The sequence below is a fragment of the Homo sapiens genome, chromosome 17 (genome assembly GCF_000001405.40).
Source record: "Homo sapiens chromosome 17, GRCh38.p14 Primary Assembly".
NCBI classification, from domain to species: Eukaryota; Metazoa; Chordata; class Mammalia; order Primates; family Hominidae; genus Homo; species Homo sapiens.
The window spans coordinates 70,520,737-70,539,595 of record NC_000017.11 but is presented as its reverse complement, the minus strand read 5'-3'; the positions used below and the strand labels follow the sequence as shown (position 1 = coordinate 70,539,595).

Here is an 18,859-nt window from a genome sequence, read left to right as displayed (position 1 = left end):
AAATTCCTAACGTTTTTCATCAATGGAGTTCTGTATCCATTATCATGTGAATAACTTTATGTACAGTGATCTCACACACATTTTTTAAGTAAAACATTCCCCTCTGCTATTTTGGAGACTCATATCTTCTAAGACGTGTTCTGAGATGAAGAAAAAGTTGTAGGTTGAAGGTTCTGAGATGAAGAAAAAGGTTGTAGGATGAAGCCGAGATTCTTCAATGCCTTTGCTTGGCAATTTGTCAAACATGTTGTGCAAAGGAAAACTTCTCAAGATGTGGTTGGAGAAACTGATTTTGTAGAGGAAGCAAACAGAAATAACTCCCACATTCAACGACAAGAATAGTTAGTTCAGTCCTCTCAGTCCTGTTTTTGCTCATTCTGCCAAAATCAAGAAGCTCCAAGAAATACATTTTTGAAAACCTAAAGAGAAATCTCTCTTTTTTTTTCCTACTGCTTTACATTTGAAATTCAATTCCATCTTTTCTTAGGCTAAGTAATTAAAATGCTACACGCAAACATGGATAAACCTAGCTTGATATTTTGGGTCAATAAAATCAGAAATAGGAGAACAACATTCAAATACTAACTTTAGGGTCACACTTGTATCTTCTATGAATATTTGTCTACATTACTTTTTAATTTCCACGAAACATGGTCATATTCTTTCCTTAATGGATCAGATACTTTTCCAGGAAATAATTCCCAGCTATTAGCCAACAAGAAAGGCAAAAGTGAAATGGCAACATCAAAGAATCTCAAATAAGAAATTACATTTTTCTGCTGCAGATCAAATAAAATTAAGTCATTTGACACACTGCATTCTGAATTATGATGCATATCTTTTTCTCTTCCTGGTTTAAGAAGCGGTTTTTTGAAAAATATTACAAGGCCAGGCACGGTGGCTCATGCCTCTAATCTCAACATTTTGGGAGGCTGAGGCAGGAGGATCACTTGAGCCCAGGAGGTCCAGGCTGCAGTGAGCCATAACCACGCCACTGCACTCTAGCCTGGGTGACAGAGTGAGACTGTCTCAAAAAAAGGAAAATAATTTTAAAAGAAATATTACAATATTTTAATTTTAATGTTATTTTTGCTTATTTGTTGTTCAAGAGGCAATTATAGCAATTTGTTTCTAAATGTAAAGGTTATGCATGTTATTCAGTTTCATGTTATCGTTCAGTTTCAAAATCAAGACATCTACCTCCTTTTTCTAAAGATGATTATTTTGCAATAAATATCCTTAATGAAGAGGGATTTAGTGGCAAAATACATATGAAACTAGTAAACTCTCAGCTTTTTAAAAATGTATTAGATTAAAAAATTTCACTTCCTATTGAATTGTCACCTAAACCAGCAATATGGTTTTTTCTAGTTTAGAAGCAAAGTATACATGTGTTTTCAAAAATGTATTTGGATTTTGTTTTGCATAAGGTATTCTGAAGCATTTATTTTAATAAAACAAAATGAAGTAAAAATAATGAATACCTGCCTGCTTTGAAGCACAATATGTATGAAATACTGGAATTTAATGACCTCCCTATAAAAAGGTTGGCTAAATTTTCAAACTGCCAAGTTATGTGGCAGAGTTTCCTGAAATGGCAATGCTTATCGGCTTTTACTATTATCTTGGATTACACCCCCCTTTCTCTTGCACCCCTCTGCAAAGCAACTTCAACATTATCCTCTGGGGCAATTGAACCATGCACTATACACCTGAAATTGTCCATGGATTTTTAAGGAATTTGCCTTTTAAATTGAGGGATAGAGAAAGAAAATCTTGCAAAACAAAGACAAATACCTATGTGGGAAGGAAACAGAAATGATAGCTTGCATCTTTGGTCTAGATGAACATCATTTACTCCCACTGAGAAGTTACACTGGGAAAGGTATGCAACCAACCAGAAAGGGAATCAACCAGAATTTTAAAGATATTAGCTACATATATCTGCATCAGCCACCGCTATGGTGAAACAATAAATGCTTTAGCTTATCTAAAACACTGTAACTCTGGCTTTCTTTTTGCTTTGTCTTTCAGTCTTTCTGACTTCACTAAATTGTTGAGAAAAGAAGATGAGTTGACTGACCTGCCTGTTCATGAAAGGAAGGCTCTGATAAGAACAGACCTATAAAAGTTTTCTTGGTTGCAAATGACACTGGCGGCCAAGTCCTCCAAAGAAGAAAATCTAGGCTGAGAGTGGCTTATTGTTTTTTTACTGAGTATAGGTCCCAGAATACCTTCTTAGTCATGACAACTTGCCAAGTCAACAGCTATGTTTGCCCTTCAGCTTCCTTCAAATTTACCACCATAATATGTTCTATCAGAGCCAATATATAAGCTCATTTTCCCCATTTTTTTAATTACACAGGAAACTACCATCACATGCAAATATACTTGCAAGATATTAAACATCACGTTTATTTAGCCAGATTTCAGAGTGAGAGAGAGACATGGAAAAAGTTGTTTGACTCAATGAATTCATTATAGTCAAAGAACTCTATGGCAAAGGCTGATAAACATGATGTATGATTCTGTTTTTATTTTTCTCCAGCTTAGAATGCATCAATCTGCTGAGGCATTTTAAGGATTTGAATTGCTTTGCCAATATTTATTTGAGATGCAGCTAGAACCTAAAAGTGGATTATGAAGCCAGGAAAAGTAGAACAGCAACATTTACTGGGCTAAATAGATGCAGGACAAGTCAACCCACAAGACAAAGACAAAAATAAGTGAAAATAGGTCGGGTGTGGTGGCTCAATCCTGTAATCCCAGGACTTTGGGAGGCCAAGGCAAGCGGATCAACTGAGGTCAGGAGTTTGAGACCAGCCTGACCAACATAGGGAAACCCTGTCTCTACTAAAAATACAAAATTTGCCAGGCGTGGTGGTGCATGCCTGTAATCCCAGCTACCTGGGAGGTTGAGGCAGGAGAATCACTTGAACCCGGGAGGCAGAGGTTGCGGTGAGCCGAGATCACACCATTGCACTCCAGCCTGGGCAACAAGGTGAAACTCCATCTCAAAAAAAAAAAAAAAAAAAAAAAAGTGAAAATAAACTGTTAGTAACGTGTTATTTAGTTCACAAATGCAATTGTACGTTTTCTTAAGTTGAATATACAGCATTCTATACCAATATTACATATATCATTATAATTTTTTTAGGGGTGAATATTATGCACACTGAAAATAATTGTGCAGTGAAAAGAAATGAGGTTTTATGCAATTTTGGATAAAAAAGACCTGGGGATACCTTCTCAGTATAAGATCTTCTTCTAAAATGTATTTGACTGAAATTAATTTAAAATGTCTTAAAAAATAAATAAACCTAGCACTTTGGGAGGTCAAGGCAAATGGATTGCTTGAGCTCAGGAGTTCAAGGCCAACCTGGGCAACAAGGCAAAACCCCATCTCTACCAAAACCACAAAAATTAGTCAGGCATGGTGCCACATGCCTGTGGTCCCAGCTACTCAAGAGGCTGAGGTGGGAGGATCACTTGAGCCTGGGAGGCAGAGGTTGCAGAGAGCTGCGATCACACCACTGCACTCTAGCCTGGGTGACAGAGTGAGACCCCACCTCAAAAAAAAAAAAAAGACAAAACATAACAAACTCTTCTGTCTATTGCTGATCTGTTTTCTCAGTTTATATTACTGTAATGTCATAGTAATTTGGTGGAACATCCAAAAAGGAACCCTATGTTAAAGCCCCCCAAAAAAAATCTAACTTTGCTGAAAGAAATGGAAGGTACCCAAAAAATAGTGATATAGTTTGGCTCTGTGTCCCCACCCAAATCTCATCTCAAATTGTAATCCCTACATGTCAAGGGAGGAACCTGGTGGGAGGTAACTGGATCATGGGAGTGGTTTCCCCCATGCTCTTCTCATGATAGTGAGTAAGTTCTCACAAGATCTGATGGTTTTATAAGGGATTCTTTGCCCTTCACTCACTCTTTCTCTCTCTGGCCTGCTACCAAGTAAGATGTGCCTGCCTTCCCTTCTGCCATGATTGTAAGTTTCCTGAGGCCTCCCTAGCCATGCGGAACTGTGAGTCAATTAAATCTCTTTCTTTATAAATTACCCAGTCTCAGGGAAGTTCTTTATGGCAGTGTGAAAACAGACTAATACAGATGGAGACAGATGTCAAGAGCAGTTGGCTGAGATGGACTTCATTCCTTCTGGGAAAATAGAATGTTGTGATTTTTCTATGTCTGGAATTGGAAGAACTGACTATGAGAAATAGCTTTTACCCTAGCCAGGCATGTAGAGGTAGTGTTCTGATTAAAACTCAGTAATGGGGTCTTCATCCAGTTATACAGAAAGGAAAATGTGGGCAAACAGAGCGCTGATGTGGGAAAATGTGGGAAACCAGAGCACATCAGAGCTTTGCAAGGCAGGGCACCCTGCAGAACCCAGAACCAGCCTTCAATGGTCAGGGAGAGACCTCAGTTTGGTTATTAGCCTTTGTCTACATTCTAAATGGAATGAGAATTCCTGAAAGTTATTGTAATTCAAAGATATTGAATTTTCTTGCAAAGCGTTTTTCAGGGTTCCTACCCAGGCCTAGCTTCCACCTGGTATGTATGTGGCCAACATATCCAGACCCATTATCTCCCACTCATATTGAGTAGTTATATTTCGGTAGCAATGGTCACAAAGCATTCCTGAGACTCTTTTAGGTTAATGATCCAAGAAGAATTACCACTGCTATTTGAGAGTAAGAGGCCACTGAGAGAGATGGAGACAGGAAACTATAAAGCACCCCAAACATCCATCCCCATTCCATACTTAATTTAAATTCCAAGAGTTTATTGTTCCAATTGTCCAGTTGGTGAATTATAATAATTACAATAATAACAATTAGAAGAGTTTTAATTTAAATCTCTGTTGTAATCTTGAGGTTCTGTGGCTTGGACAACGCTTCTTACCATAGATAGAAGTTATAGCTAGTGAAATTCTTGAATTCATTCAAAGTGCAATTAAAACCAAAGAAACTTCATATAAATCCAATTAACATTAGCATTAGAGTTGGGCTCAGTCACTTTTCCAGTACAAGTCAGCTACCACCTGAAGTAATAATTCCATATCTAAGTGGAATATAATAAATAATAACTACTCATAAAAAGTTAATATATGTAATACATCCTGATATTTATAAACATCTACTGAGGACCTGCTCTGGACCCAGTGTTGTGAGTCTGGGGATAAACACACCAGATTTGAATACTCTTGTTCTGAAGCTTATATTCTGGTTGTAGAGACAGAAAGCATGGGAAGAAATATATAAACCAAGACATTTCTAATTTTGCTTAGTGGTATAAAGGAAATATATGTGTAGAGAAAAATTGGAGGTAAGGCCATAGGATGATTGAAAATTCTGAACTGCCCCAGTAACTTATATTTACTGGTTTGGCAATTGGGTAGGACTAGAGATAATTTACCTGACTTGTAACAGAGACTATGAAAATAAAGAATAACAAAAATGTTTACTGAGAAAATATTATTTGCCAGGAGCTGTATGTTATCTCATTTAAATGTATTATTACACCCATTTCATAGATGAGTAAGAAGCTCAACAAAGTTAAGATCCGAGGTACAAGAGAGTACGTGATAGAACTGGAATTTGAATTTTGGTCTATTTTATGTCCAAATTCTTCACATGATTCCTCCTTTCCCATGAAAAAGAAAGGAAACAGTTTCATCAGTAAATCTTATTTTAAACCTATAAAAATGATGACAATTTGGGGTTTCCAGCACAGTATATATTTATGCAAACATATATAAATTAACCACCTCACTATCTGACAGCATAAAACTTAATTGAAAAAAGTAGTCAACAAATTACGTTATGAAGTTTGAAAATTGTAGACTACAGCTGTTCTTCCTACTTGGGTGCCCTTTTCAAAAGACAAATGATAAAACTTCTATTTGCAGACAAATTCCAAAGAGATAGCTCTGAGATGACGCCTGGGTTGGTTTATGTTAAAATAAACTGTTTTAAACAATTCTTTCTTTATTGAGGAGGCAAGTAATAAATATAGACCCAGAGGTTCCCTCTCTTTCTTTTTTCTCTTTTTATGTTAAGTATCACATTTTAATTGAAGTGTTAAATCCCCAAGGTTGACAAACCAAATATGGAACTTTTTATTAAGTAAACTACTTTAGAAGGATATAACACAAATTAGAAGTAACTACCGATTATAATAACCCTTTTTCATTGTTCAAGATGATTTCAGGACTTATCACTAAATTTCCTTAGAAATACAAAGCTCCAGCCAGGCGCGGTGGCTCATGCCTGTAATCCCAGCACTTTAGGAGGCCAAGGTGGGTGGATCACGAGGTCAGGAGATCGAGACCATCCTGACTAACACGGTGAAACCCCGTCTCTACTAAAAATACAAAAAATTAGACGGGCATGGTGGCGGGCACCTGTAGTCCCAGCTACTTGGGAGGCTGAGGCAGGAGAATGGCGTGAACCCGGGAGGTGGAGCTTGCAGTGAGCCAAGATCACACCACTGCACTCTAGCCTGGGCGACACAGTGAAACTCTGTTTAAAAAAAAAAAGAAAAGAAAGAAAGAAATACAGAGCTCCTCCACATCTGAATTTTCATCAAACAAAAACTTTGCTGACTCTACCATCTTTTCCCTAATTAATTCATGATATATCTGATATCTATTAATTATCCTCAAGGAAAGCAATGGAAAGTTGAGGGAGCCAGTAAGCATTTCAGTCACCACAGAACTTTTAGAAACTTTCATCAGCTACATTAGCCTAAGTCTCTCCAAATATACCTATTTTATTCTCCTTTACCAGGCATCTTTATTATGTATATTTCCTCTCCTCTGGTAATATTCTTTTTCATATGAATTAATTCCATAGGTGACAACAGAATAGAACAACATCAAGAATAACACCTATTGCATGCCCATTAAGGCAAGCAGACTGCATATCTATGTACCCCTCAACAACAACAAAAAAGAAAAAGAAAAAAAATGTATAAAAGAAAAGGCAATAAAATTTGTTTTCTATAGTAGGGTTTATTTCTACTATTTTAGTTTTTAGGCAACTGAAGCTCAGAAAATTTTAAAAGACTAAGTGATTTTCCCAAGAATATGTAGCTAAAGTGTTATGAAATCAGAATTTAAATCAACATCTGCCTGGGGCCAAAGACTGACATTTTTAAATCATACTGAACTGTCTTTCAGATCTGTAAAATATATATAATAATGTGCCCCTTGGGTAGTTGTTAAGATAATTAAGATGTTTATAAAGCACTTAGCTTAATTCTGGAAAATGGGAGACATTCAAAAAATGGTAAATCGATTTTGGTATCTAGAAATGGAGAGTTGCTATATGAAATAAATGCCAAAAATGTAGAACTGGCTTTGGAAATGGGTAAGGGGCAGAGGCTGGAAGAATAATGAGGAGTATAGTAGGAAAAAAACTTGTATTATCTTAAAGAATGTCTAGATCATTGTAAACAGGGTCGTTAAATTGCTGACGGTGAAGACACAGACAGAAGTGAGGAGTATAGTAAAGCTGTATCATCTTAGAAAGTAACTAAATCATCACAAATAGAGTTTTAGTAGAAAGATGAGTGTTAAAACACTACTAGTGAGGGCTCAGAAGGCGACGGAAACTATGTATTGTGAAGTGGAGGAAAAGGCATCCTTGCTACGTAGTGACAGGAAATGCAGCCAAATTTTATCATGAGGTTAGGTGGAAAGCAACACTTGTAAATGATGACTTTGGATATTTACCTGAAGAGATTTCCAAGCTGTGTAGAAGGGGCAACCCAATTATTTCTCACTGTTTATGATAAAGGATGAGAGGAAAGCATAAGTTAAGGAAAAGTCTGTTAAGCAAACAGGAACCAGGACTTTATGATTTGAGAAATTATCAGCCTCTACAGACTTCAAAATATCCTAAAATTAGTTTTATTGCCAGGAACATGAGCTCTGAAGAGAAACTCAAGGGTCGAGCTGGATAACACTTTGCCAGTGCCTGACAAGGATCTGAAAGAGTATTCAGTCAAATAAAAGGATCTTTGAAGAGATTAGGCGTGTGGATAATGAATTCCACCAGCCATCTCAGCAGAAGCCAAGAATGGAGATGTGATTATCCAGAAAACATTGGTGAAGAAGCCTTGTGTCTAATGAAGTGAATCTCCAGATATAAATGGGAGATCCATAAAGCTTTTGATAATGTTATAACAACGCAAACACTGCAGGTTGTACAGAAAGGGACAAAGTGAAGATGAAATGAAAGAAGGCTGCGGAACCACCCCACTTCCCCCCATCCTCCACCCCTCCGCCCCCACCTTCCACCCCCCCCACCCTCCAGCCCCCACCCTCCACTCCCACCACCCTCCACCCTCCACCCCTCCACCCCCAACCCTCCACCCCACCATCCCCACCCTCCAGCCCCCACCCTCCACTCCCACCACCCCCACCCTCCACCCTCCACCCCTCCACCCCCCACCCTCCACCCCACCATCCCCACCCTCCAGCCCCCACACTCCACTCCCACCACCCCCCACCTTCCAACCCCCACCCTCCCATCCTCCACCCCTCCACCCCCCCACCCTCCAGCCCCCACCCTACACCCCCACCCTCCACACCTCCACCCCCACCCCCACCTTCCACCTCCCCGGTCCCTGGCTATTGGCAGGAAACAGGCTGATAAAACTACTCAGCCGCAAATACCCTTCAAAAAAAAAGCAAGGATAACACCAAGGGCAGAGCCACAGGCCCAAAAGGCAAATACTCAAGCTATGGAGGTTTATTTCCAGAAACTGGATTCTTGTGGTATTTGCCCAGCTGGATTTTAAAATTGCTTGGAACATGTGACTTCTTTTTTCCTTCTATTTTATCTCCTTTGGATCAGAAATGTCCATAACTGTTATCCTATGCCTGCTCCACCATTGCATTTTTGGGAGCAGATAACTTGTTTTTTAGTTTCACAAGTCTACAGATGGAGATAAATTTTTCCCCATTATGCTTTATACCCAGAACCTCATCCAAACCTAATTTAGGTGATGTAGATGATGAGATTTGGAACTGCAGCGACTTTGAGAATTTGACCTGAAAAGACTTAGATAAAGATTTTGGATTTGAGTTGATGGTGTAATGCATTGAGACTTTGGGGTACCTTGGGAAGGAGCAAGTGTATTTTTATGTGGGGTGAACGTGAATCTTTTGGGGCCAGATTGCATCCTGTGGAGCAGGCTGAATAATGATTCCCAAAGATGTCATGTCCTTTTCCCTGAAACCTGTGAATACATCACATTACATTATAAAACGGGCTTTGCAAAAGGGATTAAACTAGGATTTTGCGATGGGGAAATTATCCTGGATTATCCAACTGGTCCCAATTAATCATGAGTCTTTATAAGCGGTAGGCAGTAATTCAGAATAAAAAGGAATGATGTCATGACAGAAGTAGAGATTGAAGTGTTGTGTTTTGCAAATGGAGAAAGGGATCACAAACCAGAGAATGCATGTGATCTCCAGAATTTGGAAGAGTTAAGACAACAGATTCTCCCATTTAGCCTCCAGAAGACACGCAGCTCTGCAGATATCTTGATGTTAGTCCGTAAGACCCACTTAATAAGACTTCTGACCTCCAGAACTGTAAGACAATGAACTTGCGTTGTTTTCAACCCCTAAAGTTGTAGTAATTTGTTGCAGTGATAATAGAAAATGAATACAATATAATTGTTATTGTGCCTTGTAATTAATACACTTAGTGATTGTGATTGATATCCTTTTATATACATTATTCAGATTATTATTTTCTTTCTTTCTTTTTTTTTTTTTTTTTTAGATAGGGTCTTGCTCTGTCACCCAGGCTGGAGTGCAGTGGTGCCATCACAGCTCACTGCAACCTCCGCCTCCCAAGCTGAAGCCCTCCTCCCACCTCAGCTTCAATGAGTAGCTGGAACTACAGGCATGTGCCACCACTCTGGCTAATTTTTATATTTGTAGTAGAGATGAAGTTTTGCCGTGTTGCTCAGGCTGATCTCAAACTCCTGAGCTCAAGGGATCTGCGAACCTCAGACTCCCAAAGTGCTGGGATTATAAGCATAAGCCATAACACCTGGCTTACTATTTTATTAAACAGAAAATACTGAGCAGAAAGGGGACATTTCATTATGAAAGATCCTGATTTTGTTTATTGCCTGATATATTGTGCTGCAATAAAGTGAGATACATATTAATTGGCCCCAAATAGAATATTTTAAAGATTTAATATTTGGTTTCTGTAAGTTTTTTAAAAATATTTTCATCCATATCAGTTCAAACTTCTTGCTAACATCATTTTGCCTCCAGTAGTCCCTTTTTCCCCTCGCAATTTAGAACAAATCTACAAGTATTTGAGTAGCTACAATAGCAGAGTTACTAATTATTTTTCTAAAATTGAAGTGGAAATACAATTTTATAAGGAAATTTTTATTTGACTAAATAAAATTGACAAAAATGTGTGTAAAATAAAAAATAGACATGGTGAATTTTTGAAAGATATCTGTATATGGAACTTTGGAGGTGGTCTGAATTACAGAAGCTAGATGTCTTAATAGCTGAAACGTTCTTCTTAAAACTTCTTGGATTGCACATTCCTACCACTACATACTTCAAGCACAACAGAATATATAAGAATGTAAATTCTTATATTTACATACTATATACACTTATTATGTTATGCATATTATATCTCATATACACAAAAATTTAATGAAAGAAATAAAGAAAAATTGAAATGAACCTCTTTCCTATTTTCTTCTCATACCCCTACAGCTCATGTTAGAAACCTACAGGAATGTACACAGCCAGTTGGAAGATTGCCGTTTGTAAAACTTGGAGGTAGAGGCAAGCAGTTCTTGTTTTATATTGTTTTTTTGAGCGAATCAATTCACTAAAAGCAGATCAAAGACTCAGCATTGTTTCTGGAAATTAGAAAGAGCTTAACAAACTTTAAGGTAGTAGTTGTGGTTATTATTTTTGCTTAAGAAAACTTATGAGACTTTTTAATTGTGATATTTTTCCTGGGTTTCAGTTCTACTTGAGGAAAAAAAGTGACTTTAGGAGAAGCCAAAAATTCATCATTCTTGAGTAATGCATTTATTTTAAATTTTGACAGACTTTCCCTACCTACGGTATCTATCTCAGTCACACTGACATTGTTCTGATCACTCTGCCTTCCATCAACATTTGTGATTTTCTTGTTAGTTCCGTTCATATTTTAATATAGGTTTTGTATTTGCGTGTTTTTCCATGAGATAGTTCTGAAGGACAGAAAAGCATTTCTTTATTCTATACACTCCCAGTCCTGTTTGTAACATAAGCTAAAATATAAATGTTTTCTTAGTCAGGTTTTAAATTATAACAAGCATTTCTTAGGATGATGAGATACTATTGCTTTAGTGAGAGGCACACTTGACATTTATGAGAAGAAGAGAAAAAGGAAAGAAAAGGTATTCTCCTCTTTTCTCCATCTTCCATGCCTTCTAGGTTCTCAGCAAGCACTATCAATAAACCGTTATTTATTTTTAAAAGCTATAGCTCTTTATTAAAAAATTTCTGTAATAGTTTGCAATTTATTAAGTGTTTTCCTTTTGTGGTAAGAGTCCCATCAGTTCACTTAATGGTAGCAGAATGTTTTAGTGGAAAGAGAGATTGCTAGCTTCTAATACTTGAGTCTAAGAGATTTTTAGTCCTTTGTGTTTTGAAACTAGCATTTCCTTCTTTAATCTTCCACCCCCTCCTACAAACACACCCACTCAGAGCAGTCAGGTGTAAAATTAGAAGGAACAGAAATAATAAAAGAATGGAAAATATGAGATAACATTTCTAAAAATAATTCTTGTTACAGAAGCAGACCATTTTGAAACCAGTAAGAGGGCGTTAAGCCCTCTCCAGACTGAATTTCTCAATTGTCCTTCATGGGTGCTGCCATTAGTGGTAGACTGGGACCTTGCATTTCTCAATAACCTTCCGGTGTCAATCACCTGTGATTTTTTAAGATTGCCTAACATGTCAAATTTCTTTTTATATCCAAGTTAAGTACATGTTCCCACTGTACTTCCTTCATTGCTTCTTTCTTCCTCTTACTGCCACTCTTTACCCCTGCCTGATATGCAGCGTCAGCCTTTAGTGAAGTTGTGAAATTTGTAAATTATCTTTAGACTTCTTCATTTTTTAGCACTTCCCTACAGCAAGTTGATGAGATGTCCTATAGGAAAATTATTAAGCTCGTTTTCTGTATTTCCTAATAATTACAACTGAATAAGTTGTAGAGAAGTGTTTTTTGTTGTTGTTGTTTTTGTTTTTTGTTTTTTTTTCTTTTTGAGACAGGGTTTCATTCTATTGCCCAGGCTGGAGTGCAGTGGCATAAATATAGCTCATTGCAGTCTCAACTTCCAAAACTCAAGTGATCCTCCTAAGTAGCTGGGACTACCGGCACACACCACCACGCCCAGCTTATTTTTTATATTTTGTAGAGACAAGATCTTGCCATGTTGCCCAGGCTTATCTCGAACTCCTGGACTCAACCAGTCCTCCCATCTTGACCTCCCAAAGGGCTATAATAGGTTTGAGCCACTGTGTCCAGGAGAGAGAAATTACTGGAAAAGAGAATTTAGATTAGAAAGAGAAAACCCTGTTTAATAACAGACACCATCCAAGAATAAGAAGCCTGACCCAGGTAAAGTGAGAACACAAAAGAGTTTCCAAGTGACTACTTAAAAGGGTAGCTGGGGAGGGTTTATGTAACACATGTGAGCTGGAACCCAGGAAGTTAAAAGACATATACATTGCACTGTACTTATTAGGATAGTAATGCATTCTCACTGAAAAAAGTAAAATAAGTCAAGAGTTGCAGGAAAAAAGGGAAAAAATAAAAACTAAAACATACATTTTCTTTTTTCTGTCCCCTGAAACTACAACTCATTTAGTGTGTATCAACTCACCCTTTTTCTTTTCTTTTTTTTTTTTTTTTTTTGAGATGGAGTCTCACTCTGTCACCCAGGCTGGAGTGCAGTGGCGGGATCTCGGTTCACTGCAACCTCCACCTCCCGGGTTCAAACGATTATTGTGCCTCAGCATCCAGAGCAGTTGGGACTACAGGAGCGTACCACCATGCCCAGTTAATTTTTTGTATTTTTAGCAGAGATGGGGTTTCACCATGTTGGCCAGGCCGGTCTTGAACTCCTGACCTGAGGTGATCCTCTTGCATTGGCCTCTCAAAGTGCGGGAATACAGGCGTGAGCCACCATGCCTCGCCCATCTCACCCTTTTTCTACGTTTATATAAATATATCATATTACAACAGCTAGAGGAATCATTGTCAAGCACAGTTTACTAGTCTTTTGTTCAAAACTTCCCTATGGCTTCCCGCTGCATGCAGAATACAAGGCAAAGTCCAGGGAGGAGTTGGCCTCCCTACTACAAATGACCTCATCCCCTGCCTCCCAACCTCACTTCCTCTGCATTAGCTGCACTATTCCTCAAGGTCTGGGACACACAAAACTCTCTCCAGGCATCAGGCCTCCTGCAAGTGTTGTTTCACTCTGCCTGGATTACTCTTTACTCCAGTATTCATCTTTATCTTTATGTAACCCCTTCATCTTTATGTCTTTGCTCAGATATCATTTTATCATTGATTTTTTGGTTTTCCTACTCTTACTGTTCTACCTATTTTTATAAAGGGATTCAAAACCTGTGTCACTGCTGCAACCATCTTCCCAGAAACTTACTGCTTGCTTGCTTGCTTTTAATTCAACCAATAGATAGGACTCATGCTAATATAATTCATGTTCTGAAATCTTTTCTTCCAGCAAACCCTTTTACAATTTCACTTGGCCTTAAGATTTTATCATGGAGTCATTCACTTGGCAATATCTTCCTTTTCTCTCCTTTTTATTGACGTTCTCGGCTTGCCATTTTTCCTGACCAGAGCCCCTCTGATGGTGATGAAGGGCAAGTGAACCCCCAAATTGAGACTCGGCATGGGAGGGATTTTGCCTCTGCCCAGGAAGGAATTCAAGGGCAATCCAGTGGTGTTAGACAGCAACTTTTTTTTTTTTTTTTTTTTTTTTTGAGACGGAGTTTCGCTCTTGTTGTCCAGGCTGGAGTGCAATGGTATGATCGTGACTCACTGCAACCTCCGCCTCCTGGGTTCAGGTGATGATTCTCTTGCCTCAGCCTCCTAAGTAGTTGGGATTACAGGCATGTGCCACCATGCCTGGCTAAATTTTTTTGTATTTTTTTAGTAAAGATGGGGTTTCTCCATGTTGGTCAGGCTCGTCTCAAACTCCCGACCTCAGGTGATCCGCCTGCCTCGGCCTTCCAAAGTGCGGTGATTACAAGCATGAGCCACCACCGCACCCAGCCTAGACAGCAACTTTTATTGAAGTAGCAGTGCGCAGCAGCAGCAGAGGTCCTGCTCCTAGCAGAGCAGGCCTACACCATAGCCCATGTGCCCAGGGAAGCAGCTCAAGGGCAGTTCTGCAGTCAAATTTATGCTCACTTTTAATTACATGCAAATTAAGGGGCAGGTTGTTCAGACTTTTCTAGGAAAAAGCTTGTATTTTTCAGGTCATTGGCTTGGAAAGGGGTGGTAAACTCTGGGTGTTGCCATGACAATGGAAAACTGAGATGGCACTGGTGGATGTGTCTCCTGGAGAGATGCTTTCACCTCTTCCTTGTTTCAGCTATTCTTCAATCTGGTCAAGAGTCGAGTCCCCACCTCCTACCTCAACTGTGTGTTTTGTGCTAGTCTTGCTGATTATGGATTATGTCTTTCTGTATTTTCCTTCCTATCAAGTATATCTGTTTCTGTGGAAAACTTTTCCCTAATGACAGATCCATTGAGGAAAAAAAAAAATCTCAAAAACTCACCTATTATCTTAATAATCCAGAGGAATGCATTTCAAATGGTGGGATTCAGACATCAAAAGCAGGCATTTCTCTTGCTTCCTATAACGTATTTTTTTGTACCTACCAGCCAAGGAATAGAGAAAGACCTTCAGTCTTGGAAAATATTTCCTCTTTCATTACATCCTTGGAAATTCACAAGATTTGGGATCCATCATGATTTCTCAAATATTCGCTATCACTTAAAGTACATGTTGCACACAGATATGAAAGGTCAACAAGAAAGATGGCTTTCCGGTCCTTAACTCTTTTGGAGTAGTTACCTTTTCATCCAGTTCCTGAAAGCAAGAAACCAGAGAGTAAAAACAGTGTGTGCTCCTGACAGCTGCAGTACTGAGATAACTGCAATTCCTCAGGAAGAGACACGTCATAAGAATTGATACAGTGACTTGAATTAACTGAGGTAATCTTGACACTGATCATCGTGTTATCTTCCTAGAGTTACATACTGCTGAATTCCTTTTCTTATATTTTAAAATGTTAACTAATTTAATATTTCTTCTTTGCCAGAGCAAAATTAGAGAGAAGTAAAGTTTTCTTTGACCCCTAGCATCTCTCTGCTATTCTTTTTGATAATATTTATAGTTCTGTTGGCCTCCATTACAATAATACCCCCTATTTTTTTGGGTAAATGAAATAGAAGATCTAATACTAATACACTGACATCCATGATGTTTCCAAGATAGGGAGGATTATGAGAGAATTTATAAATGTTTTAAAATTAGGCAATAATACTTAAGATTATTTTTCTAAAAAAAATAGAGCTAATACCTTGATTTCCTAATATGAAGTAAGAATTTTTTTTTTTTTTTTACGTTTCAACTGTCAAATAAAACTCTCAAATTTTCCTGGTGTGTTAGTTCAAAATAAATGTGCACTTGTTTCATTATCACAAGATTCTCTAACTATCCTCTCCATATTTATTTCACTAATATGATAAGCATTGACGTCAATACTCTTTCCTTGCTTCCAACTCTATTCACTCCATGATGGTATCAAATCGTTTCCTGAATGAGAGAAAAAATCATAAATATTTTATTGTGGTCGAATCATGATGTCAAGTGCTTCCTGATTGTCTCTTTGAACTGTTTATTTTTTGCTTTTTAATGGGCCGTGGTTTGGTAAGAGTGTGTTGAATGAATGAGATTTTTGGATGTTGACATTAGTCATGCCATTTGGAATATTTCAAACATGAGTTTAATTTTACCTGGCCTAATATTTTTATTTTCTGCAGGTTGCAGTATATTACTTCTAATATACAGCAAATATTCATTTGTTTTATACTTATGAATTATATTTTCACTTTGTATCCAACTTAATGTCTATTGAGGTATAAATTAGTTGTTTTTAAGGTACTCTGTTCAATGGCCTGTACCAGCCAAAGAAGGCTTCTAGCTATTTACCTTTGACTACGGTATTTTACTCCAAGAAATTTCAAGTTTAGTTTTAGGAGAAACAAATCTTCTAGACCCTTGATAGCTTCTAACGGAATTGTTCAGTATCATAATATACTAGCTAATTCTTAAAAGGCAGTTTGGAACATCTTAGGATTCAGAAAAAGACTATTTAAAATGCAAATACTAAATACTACTCAGCATTTATCTAACGTTAATGCTAACACTAGACCTCAGCATGAAAGTTCATGCAGCCAAGCTGGGACTGAAAATACCTGTAAAATATTCACAGTAGTATAATTAATAGGATGATTTTTAAATAGGGCACATTTATTTTAAAATTATAATAATAATAATTATTACTTTTCAAATAAAGCTCTCAGTTTTGCTAAATCATAATAGTGGATTCTTCTACAATAACCTTCATTCGAAAACATGTACATGTCTAAGAAGTAAATTAGATTTCTGTAAATTACTCGGTTTTCACTTTATTGATATAAACTCTAAAATTGATAATTAAATCAGAATTCTCTGTTAAGAACTATATCTAAATTAGTGATGGCCTGTTTGATGGAAAAATGGACTTTTTACTGTTCAAAAGCAAAACATAAATTTTAAAGGCTATTCTCACAAAGCACATAAGTCATAAAATACAGTACAGAGTCAAATATCCAACTCCAATCCATATCAGTCCTCTAACATAGTTAAAACTCAAAGATCCAAGTTTCAATTTGTAAAACTCTGGGGCCCCTTACAGCAGTTTTAGGGATTATTTGAATTTTAAAATGTTAAATTCTGACTTTACAATACTAGCAAGAACTGTAGTTTATGAAAAATAAATTGAAATTCTGGTGTGCTTGTCCACCATTATTATTCACTCCTTATCCCTCCCAATTCACTCTCTGCCTGCTTTCTGCCTAGGGAGCTTAATTCTAAGGACCGCACAACCTAGGGTCTTTTTCATTGGTTTTTGCTGAGATCACCCAGTGAGAGTTACCAGGCAGAATAAATAGTAGTCATATATCCCCTTCCACTTTTTGGCTGGGTTGTCTGTCTTTAACCGTAGCTTTTGCAGGATAACCCTTCTCCATCGTCTATAACTGTCATAAGATTTGAGTAACACAACTTTCTCCCCTCTTATCTGCAGGCTTAGGAAGTTTCTGGCTGAGCTTCCTACTATTGGCGAGTTTCTGGGCACTCTGCCATCCCCTCATGATTCTGTTGAACCTACCCTTACATCAGCAAATATTTCTTTTATTGAACTCTCTTCAACTAGCTCTTTGAGTTAATTAATTGTGTCATCTGTTCCCTGCCAGAACTCTGCCTAGTATACCTGGTTTGGTCTTCCTCATTGCCACCCCCAGATAAATTGGTCACTCAGCCACTCAGCACCATTCCTTCCATCAGTAGTGTAATAATAACAATAATACCAGCAAAATGATACTAGCTTACTACATGCCAGAGTGAGTGGTTCAGGCATGCTAGAAAATCTGCCAGGTATTTTATCGTTATCAATTACATGCTCACAGGCATCCTAGGAAACAACTACAATAGTTATTTCCAATTTACAGATGAAGTAAGTAACTTAACTGAAGTCTTGGCCAGTAAATTGTGAAGCAGAGCTTCAACCCTTGAACACTGACTGTAAAAATTATACTTTGAACTGCTTGACTCTCATTCTTGTCTGTAACCAGCTTCCTAAATGGCTGAAGTGACTGGTGAAACGAGGAGATTTTTACCTTAAAATCTGAGCATTCACTTTGAATCTAAGCATTCCCTTTATCTTAAAAAACCAAGCATTCCTTTTATCTTAAAATTTTATACCTCCATGATTAAAATATGACATCCAAAATACTAAAATTAAACGAAGAAGCATCTCTACTATGAATAAGATATATTATCTACAAATAGTTGGTAACTTGGAAGCACAGAGTGACTGGCATACAATCTGAACATATGTGCTATTGGACAGAGAAGATCTCATAAAAATGACTATTTCTGACATAAACAAGGATGGCAGCGACGAGACTCAGACTTGCGGAATGTAGCTAAAGGCTCCAAAGTTGTAGGGGAGTAGTGGAAAAAGGAAGGACAGACCAAAAGAGAATCCATCAATAGCAGCTCTTCAGAGTTTGATAGCCTGGGTCGGAGGATACACACCACCTGTTTTGCATACTTATCCAAGGCCTGTCTTTCTAATTCAAGCTTCCATTTTATTTTCCCCAATATCATCCACAACAGTATTTGTGAGTTTAATGAAATGCTGAAGGACTATATTCTTTAGAGCAATGGCCCTGAGAGATTTGTATTATCATCACCAAGAATCACTTTTAGCCTAAGGATTTTAGAAACAGAACCAAAATTATCCACTGCTTTGGGTTGGACTGGTATCATCTTTTTAAAGAGTACCTTGCAATTCTGTACTTTAAGACTTTCCTTATTCATTGCATTCTTTCAATTTTTATTTTCCTTTCTATTTTTTTTCCTTTCTCTGATTTACTTATTCTCTCATCTTTAAATCTTTCTTTCCCTGAGCCTCAGC

The 18,859-nt window shown here is 37.6% G+C and overlaps 1 annotated feature.

The window, feature by feature from the left end:
- Positions 2,911 to 3,012: a silencer, noted in NCBI's record as "fragment chr17:68532725-68532826 (GRCh37/hg19 assembly coordinates)". NCBI's record gives its function as "represses an EF-1alpha promoter that drives an FKBP-Casp9 reporter gene in an ReSE screen in phorbol 12-myristate 13-acetate-treated (for megakaryocytic differentiation) K562 erythroleukemia cells {active_cell/tissue: K562(+PMA)}" and the evidence as "EXISTENCE:reporter gene assay evidence [ECO:0000049][PMID:32094911]".